The 7,746-nt window shown below is 51.9% G+C and overlaps 1 annotated feature.

Moving 5' to 3' along the window:
• Positions 5,275-5,569: a silencer, noted in NCBI's record as "tiled region #2922; K562 Repressive non-DNase unmatched - State 22:ReprW". NCBI's record gives its function as "represses a minimal TATA promoter and a strong SV40 promoter by Sharpr-MPRA in K562 cells {active_cell/tissue: K562}" and the evidence as "EXISTENCE:reporter gene assay evidence [ECO:0000049][PMID:27701403]".

Raw genomic sequence — 7,746 nt, 5'->3', positions numbered from 1 at the left:
GACATCACTGGCTTCCTGGGTCCACAGTTTGCAGCCAGCAGATAGTAGGACTTCTCAGCCTCCATAAGTGTGTGAGCCAATCCCTCACAATAAATCTTTTTCTATCAATACATGCCTATCCAATTGCTTCTATTTCTCTAAAAAACCCTGACTAGCTGCTTTTAAAAATATGAGGTCTAGGCCAGGCACAGTGGCTCATGTTTGTAATCCCAGTATTTTGGGAGGCTGAGGCTGGCAGATCACCTGAGGTCAGAAGTTCAAGGTCACCCTGGCCAACATGGTGAAATGCTGTCTCTACTAAAAATACAAAAAATTAGCTGGGCGTAGTGGTGGGCCCCTGTAATCCCAGCTACTCAGGAGGCTGAGGCAGGAGAATCGCTTGAATCTGGGAGGCAGAGGTTGCGGTGAGCTGAGATCACACCATTTCACTCCAGCCTGGGCGACAGAGCTACTCAGCCTCCTGAGTAGCTGGGACTACAGGCATGAGCCACCAAGCCGGACTAATTTTGTTTGTTTGTTTGTTTGTTTGTTATGTTTTATAGAAACAGAGTTTCACCGTGTTGCCCAGGCTGGTCTCAAACTCCTGAGCTCAAAGAGATCCACCCATCTTGGCCTCCCAAAGTGCTGGGATTATAGGCATGAGCCACGGTGCCAGGCCAATAACAGCACTGTTTAAAATTGTGAGAAAGGAAGTAGGCGTGATGGCTCACGCCTGTAATCCCAACACTTTGGGAGGCTGAGGCGGGCAGATCGCCTGAGGTTGGGAGTTTGAGACCAGCCTGACCAACGTGGAGAAACCCCGTCTCTACTGAAAATACAAAATTAGCCGGGCATGGTGGCACATGCCTGTAATCCCCGCTCCTCGGGAGGCTGAGGCAGGAGAATCACTTGAACCCGGGAGGCGGAGATTTTGGTGAGCTGAGATCGCACCATTGCACTCCAGCCTAGGTGACAGAGCGAAACTCCATCTCAAAAAATAAATAAATAATAAAAAGAAAAAGAAAAAATAAGCCAGGCATAGTGGCATGAACCTGTAGTCCCAACTATTTTGGGGGCCGAGGCAGGAGGATCATTTGAGCTCAGGATGTTGAAGCTGCCATGAGCCATGATCACGCCACTGCACTCCAGTCTGGGTGACGGAGAGTTACCCTGCTGTCCCCTAAAAAAAGGCTGGACTCGGTGGCTCACGCCTGTAATCCCAGCACTTGGGAAGACCAAGGTTGGCAGATCACTTGAGGTCAGGAGTTCGAGACCAGCCTGGCCAACATGGTGAAGCCCTGTCTCTATTAAAAATACAAAAATTAGGGCCGGACGTGGTGGCTCATGCCTGTAATCCCAGCACTTTGGGAGGCTGAGGCAGATGGATCATGAGGTCAGGAGATTGAGACCAGCCTGGCCAATATGGTGAAATCCCATCTCTACTAAAAAATACAAAAATTAACCGGGCGTGGTGGCATGCACCTGTAGTCCCAGCTACTTGGGAGGCTGAGGCAGGATAATCGCTGGAACCTGGGAGGCGGAGGTTGCAGTGAGCCGAGACTGTGCCACTGTACTCCAGCCTGGGTGACAGAGTGAGACTCCATCTCAAAAAGGAAAAAAAAAAACACAAAACAATACAAAAATTACTGGGGTGTGGTGGCACGCACTTGTAGTCTCAGCTACTCAGGAGGCTGAGGCAGAAGAATCTCTGAAACCCAGGAGGCGGAGGTTGCAATGAGCCGAGATCACGCCACTGCACTCCAGCCTGGGCGACAGAGTGAGACTCTGTCTCAAAAATAAAATAAATAAATAAAAGGAAATTAAATAACCAAAAAGTAGAAATGATCCAAATGTCCCTCAACAGACGAATGGATAAACAAAATGTGGTCCATCTATGCAATGGAATATGATTCAGCCACAAAAAGGAATGAAGTACAAAACAAAAACAAAACAAAAGAGGAAGGATGCACTGCTCCCTGCTACAGCATGGACGAACCCCAAAAACACATGCCAAGTGAAAGATGCCAGACACGAAATGTCACATAGTGTGTGATTCCATTTGTAGGAAATGGCCAGAACTGGCAAATCCACAGAGACAGAAAGCAGATTTGTGGTTGCCAGGGCCTGGGGAGAGGAAGGGGGAGTGACCGCTGATGGGAACGGAGCGTCTTTACGGGGTGACGAAATAGTCTGGAAGTAGATCGAGGTAGTGATTGCACAACATGGTGTGTGCACTGAATGCCAGGGAATTGTGCACTTTATTTTATTTTATTTTATATATTTTTTGAGACTGAGTCTCACTCTGTTGCCCAGGCTAGAGTGCAGCTTCCAGGGGTCAAGCAGTTCTCCTGCCTCAGCCTCCTGAGTGGCTGGGATTACAGGCACGGGCCACCACACCAGAAAACCGGTTTTGGAGCCACTCTGTGTGTTGCGTTCTGACCCTGTCACTTATTCCCTTGCACCATCTCAGGCAAGCAGCTTCCCCCCAAGCCTCCATGTTCAGCTCTGGGAATGGGGTCACATGAAGCCCCCCCTTCCACCTTTCCACGAGCTCCCAAAGAATAGTGACAGATCCTCCTTGTTCCCATTTGCGCCCCAGCACCCGATGCAGAAATGGGCACACTCTGGGAAAAAAGTAGACTGTTGAATGAATAAACGATGGAAAAACGCATCAGCTCCAAGGTTGAGCTCCCAACCTCTATTTTTCTTTTTCCTTTCCTCTTTTCTTTTCTATTTTCTTTCTTTTCTTTTTTGAGACAGAGTCTTACTCTGTCACCCAGGCTGGAGTGCAGTGGTGAGATCTCAGCTCGCTGTAACCTCCGCCTCCCAGGTTCAAGAGATTCTTGTGCCTCAGCCTCCTGAGTAGCTGGGATTATAGGCATGTGCCAGCATACCAGGCTAATTTTTGTATTTTTAGTAGAGACGGGGTTTCATCATGTTGGCCAGCCTGGTCTCGAACTCCTGACCTTAGGTGATCCATTCACCTCAGCCTCCCAAAGTGCTGGGATTACAGGCATGAGCCAGTGTGCCCGGCCCCCAACCTCTATTTTTTGAGGGAGTTGCTCCCTGGTCAGGGGGACAAGGGCAGGGGAAACTTTCCTTAGCTGGAAAAACCCTGCAGAGGCCAGGAGCAATGCCTCATGCCTGTCATCCTAGCACTTTGGGAGGCCGAGGCAGGAGGATCACATGAGCCCAGGAGTCCAAGACCAAACTGGGCAACATAGGGAGATCCCATCTCTACAAAAAGTTTTGGAAAGTTAGCCAGGCATGGTGGCAAGAGACTGTAGTCCCTGCTACTCAGGAGGCTGAGGCAGGAGGGTCGCTTGAGCCTAGGAGGTGGAGGCTGCAGTGAGCCGAGATCGCACCACTGCACCCCAGCCTGTTCAGCCTGGGTGACAGCGCAAGACCCTCTCTCAAAAAAAAGGAAAAAAAAAAAAACCCTGCAGAACCCGGGCCTCCAAGGAGGGCATGGCAGGGCGGGCCGGGTCCGAGCCGCTTCAGCAGGAGGAACAGTGGTATGACGAGCCCTTTCCACTCTGTGGTCAGACTCCCAGCCCGGAGAGCAATAAAACAGCCCTGCTCAGACTGGAAACATTTTCCTTTCATGTGTTTCTGGAGGCGCTGGCATGGTCCACGAGGAAAATTCCAGCGGAATAAGAAGAAATGTCTTCAGCATCCACCGAGGGCCAGGAAGGGGTAGTCAGGCCGGGAAGGGGTAGTCAGACCCGGGCCTCGGGGGAACCCAGCCATGCTGGGGGGAGGCCTCGAGGCCCAGGCAGGGCCAGGCAGCTGTCAGCGCATTATCTGGGTCTGGGAGGCTCCTGTGGACGACAGACCTCCCCAGCCCCGTGGTGGTGAGGATAGCGGGTGGCCTGGCCTGTTGGAGACAGCTCTCCTCAGGAATTCACATAAAACTGCTTTGAGATGTGTCTACCATGCATGTTGAGCCCATGGGGTTCCCAGGTCTGGGAGGGAGCCTCTCGGTACCTGGCACAGGACGAGGGGGTACAGGTCTGATGTGCCTTCTGCTCACATACCTCCCATGGCTCCCCATTGCCCTGGGATGGAGTCCAAGTCCCATCGTCCCAGGGCTTGTGGGCCCTTCCAGCAGTATGGCCCTTTCTCCCCTCACTCTGTGTGAGTTGGGCCCCTCTACACACAGTTCCAGAAACACTCCATCGTTCTCTGTCGCCTCCAAGCCTTTACACACGCTGGTCCCCCCACCCGAGCACCCTCTGTGGCCTCTTACCAGGCCAATTCTCATCTCTCCTTCAGTCGCAGCATAGCAGTCCCTCCTGCTGACCCTCCATAGCTGCCTGTGCGCCTCCAGCATGACTCAAACCACTCTGCCATTTATTTATTTTATTTATTATTGTTTTTTAATTTTATTTATTTATTTTTGAGACGGAGTCTCGCTCTGTCACCCAGGCTGTAGTGCAATGGTGCAATCTCAGCTCACTGCAACCTCCGCCTCCTGAGTTCAAGCAATTCTCCTACCTCAGCCTTCCAAGTAGCTGGGATTACAGGTGCCTGCTACCATATCCAGCTAATTTTTGTATTCTTAGTAGAAACGGGGTTTCTTTTCTTTTTTTCTTTTTTTTTTTAGACAGAGTCTCGCTCTGTCACCAGGCTGGAGTGCAGTGGCGCGATCTCGGCTCACTGCAACCTCCGCTTGCTGGGTTCAAGCAATTCTCATGCCTCATCCTCCTGATTAGCTGGGATTACAGGAACGTGCCACCACACCCAGCTAATTTTTGCATTTTTAGTAGAGACGGGGTTTCATCATGTTGGGCAGGATGGTCTCGATCTCCTGACCTCGTGATCCACCCACCTTTGTCTTCCCAAGTGCTGGGATTACAGGCATGAGCCACCGCGCCCAGCCGAAACGGGGTTTCACCATATTGGCCAGGCTGGTCACGAACTCCTGACCTTAGCCCCACCTCAGCCTCCCAAAGTGCTGGGATTACAAGCATGAGCTACCATGCCTGGCCTAATTTTTTTTTAAGAGATGAGGTCTCGGCCGGGTGCTGTGGCTCACGCCTGTAATCCCAGCACTTTGGGAGGCCAAGGCAGGCAGATCATGAAGTCAGGAGTTCGAGACCAGCCTGACTAACATGGTGAAACCCCGTCTCTACTAAAAATACAAAAGTTACCTGGGCGTCATGGTGCGCACCTGTAATCCCAGCTACTCAGGAGGCTGAGGCAGGAGAATCGATTGAACCCAGGCGGCAGAGGTTGCAATGAGCCAAGACCACGCCATTGCATTCCAGCCTGGGCAACAGAGGGAGACTTTGTCTCAAAAAAAAAAAAAAAAAAAAGAGGTGAGGTCTCATAATGTTATCCAGGCTGGCCTTGAACTCCTGGTCTCAAGTGATCCTCCTACCACGGCACTCCCAAAGTGCTGGGATTATAGGCATGAGTCACTGTGCCTGCCTATTATTTATTTATGTATTTATGTATTTATTTTGAAATGGAGTCTTGCTCTGTCGCCCAGGCTGGAGTGCAGTGGCACAATCTCTGCTTATTGCAAGCTCCGCCTCCCAGGTTCACGCCATTCTCCTGCCTCAGCCTCCTAAGTAGCTGGGACTACAGGCACCTGCCACCACGCCCGGCTAATTTTTTTGTATTTTTAGTAGAGACGGGGTTTCACCATGTTAGCCAGGAGGGTCTTGATCTCCTGACCTTGTGATCTGCCCACCTTGGCCTCCCAAAGTGCTGGGATTACAGGCGTGAGCCATCGCGCCCGGCCCTATTTTTTTTTTTTTTTTTTTTTTTTTTTTTTTTTTAGAGAAGGAGTCTTGCTCTGTCGCCCAGGCTGGAGTGCAGTGGTGCAATCTCAGCTCACTGCAATCTTTGCCTCCCAGGTTCAAGAAATTCTCCTGCCTCAGTCTCCCGAGTAGCTGGTACTACAGGCACACACCGCCACACCTGGCTAATTTCTTTTGTATTTTAGTAGAGATGGGGGTTTCACCATGTTGCCCAGGCTGGTCTTGAACTTCTGGTCTTAAGTGATCCTCCCACCATGGCCTCCCAAAATGCTGGGATTACAGATGTGTGCCACTGTGACCAGCCTCACTCTGCCATTTATTGAGGGCAAATTTCTGGGTTGTAGGCCAGGTGTGGTACCTCACACCTGTAATCCTAGCACTTAGAGAGGCCAAGGTGGTTGGATCACTTGAGCCCAGGAGTTTGAGACCAGCCTGGGCAACACAGCAAGACCTTGTCTCTACAAAATATAAAAATTAGCTGGACAGGGTGATATGTGCCTATGGTCCCAGCTACTTGAGAGGCTGAGGTGGAAAGATCACCCAAGCCCAGGGGGTCGAGGCTGCAGTGAGCCGGGATTGCACCACTGCACTTCAGCCTGGGCGACAGAGCGAGACTCCAGCTCATAAATAAATAAATAAATAAAGTTCTGGTTGTAAATCCTGGGGCACTGCTGGGGGAGGTCTGGGGGTCTCAGAGGGTATATGTTTGTGAAACTTTGTTGTGATAGCCAGCATCCTCCTTTGTCCCCAAGGAGACAATCTCACCTAGTATATGCCAGGTACAATGGCACAAACTGCGGATAAACCACGTTCCCAACCTCATGAAAATGTAGCCGAGAAGATCATTTCCAAGAGTGAGAAGTGTCTGAAAGAAATACCTGGGTGTAGGTATTTTTGCCCATGGGTTGGGAAAGGTCTCCTGAGGTGTTGACATTTAAGCCAAGTCCTGGGTCACAGAAGGGTATTTTATGTAAATATGAAGGAAGGGGCTGGGCGCAATGGCTCACACCCATAATCCCAGCACTTGGGAGGCAAAGGTGGGTGGATCACTTGAGGTCAGGAGTTCAAGACCAGCATGACCAGCATGGGGAAACCCCATCTCTGGCCTGGGAGCCCTACAGACCGGGGCCAACCTTGACTCGCCTCATGGGTCCCCACTGCCTGGGCCAGGGCTTGGCAGGCAGGTAGATGCTGCACTTGACCTTGAACGTGGATGCGCTTCTACAGCAATGCCCTGTGTTCCAGACGGGAAGCCGAGTCTCCCCTTGTGCCCGGAGAGATGTGGGGACCCAGCTTTTTGGCCTTCTGATCAGGCCCCTCTGCAGGTCTCAGGCCTGTGGGCTGGCAGGGGCCCCAGGGCCTGTTTTTTCCGCCTGGTGTTGGGATTGACGTCTTGAAGGGGCAACGCCTTGGTGCTGGTGATTATTTTTTTAACCTTTGCAGATTCAGCCAGAGACTCGAAATCAAAGCCGTTCTGCCCCCCAGCCCCAGCCGGGCCACAGCCAGCGAGGCCACATGGAGGCCTGACCTGTTGGATGACGGGCCACTGGCCTCCCCAGACCGCACGGTCCAAGGGTTGCGTCCAACTCCACATCTGGACTTTTCGAATTGGTCGTGGCTTCCAACTGGAACAAAAGGACCCGGGATGGGGAAAACATGGGTTCCCCCTGCCCCACCCCACCTGTTTGCACAAAGGATGGGGATCAAGGACGCAGCCAGAGACCCCTGCCCATCTCCCTGCAACGCACACAGCCCAGGCCTGGAAGTCACAGGCCACTCTTTGCCCACAAGGTCCACGGTTCCATCTGGAGCCTGGCCAGCCCAGACCAGACACCTCAGCAACAACATGGCCAAGGTGGGGTTCATGGTTTTCTGCTAAGTCTTCCTGTGTCGGGCAACAACCCTACCAACCACCTTGTGATGGGTTCAAGATCTGGGCGCGTCTGAGACTCCTCCCTCCCTTCCTTCCCAAGCTCATCAGTAGCTCTAGTCCTCTCAG

The sequence above is a fragment of the Homo sapiens genome, chromosome 19 (assembly GCF_000001405.40).
Source record: "Homo sapiens chromosome 19, GRCh38.p14 Primary Assembly".
Taxonomy (NCBI): Eukaryota; Metazoa; Chordata; class Mammalia; order Primates; family Hominidae; genus Homo; species Homo sapiens.
This window is presented reverse-complemented; position numbering and strand designations above follow the sequence as displayed.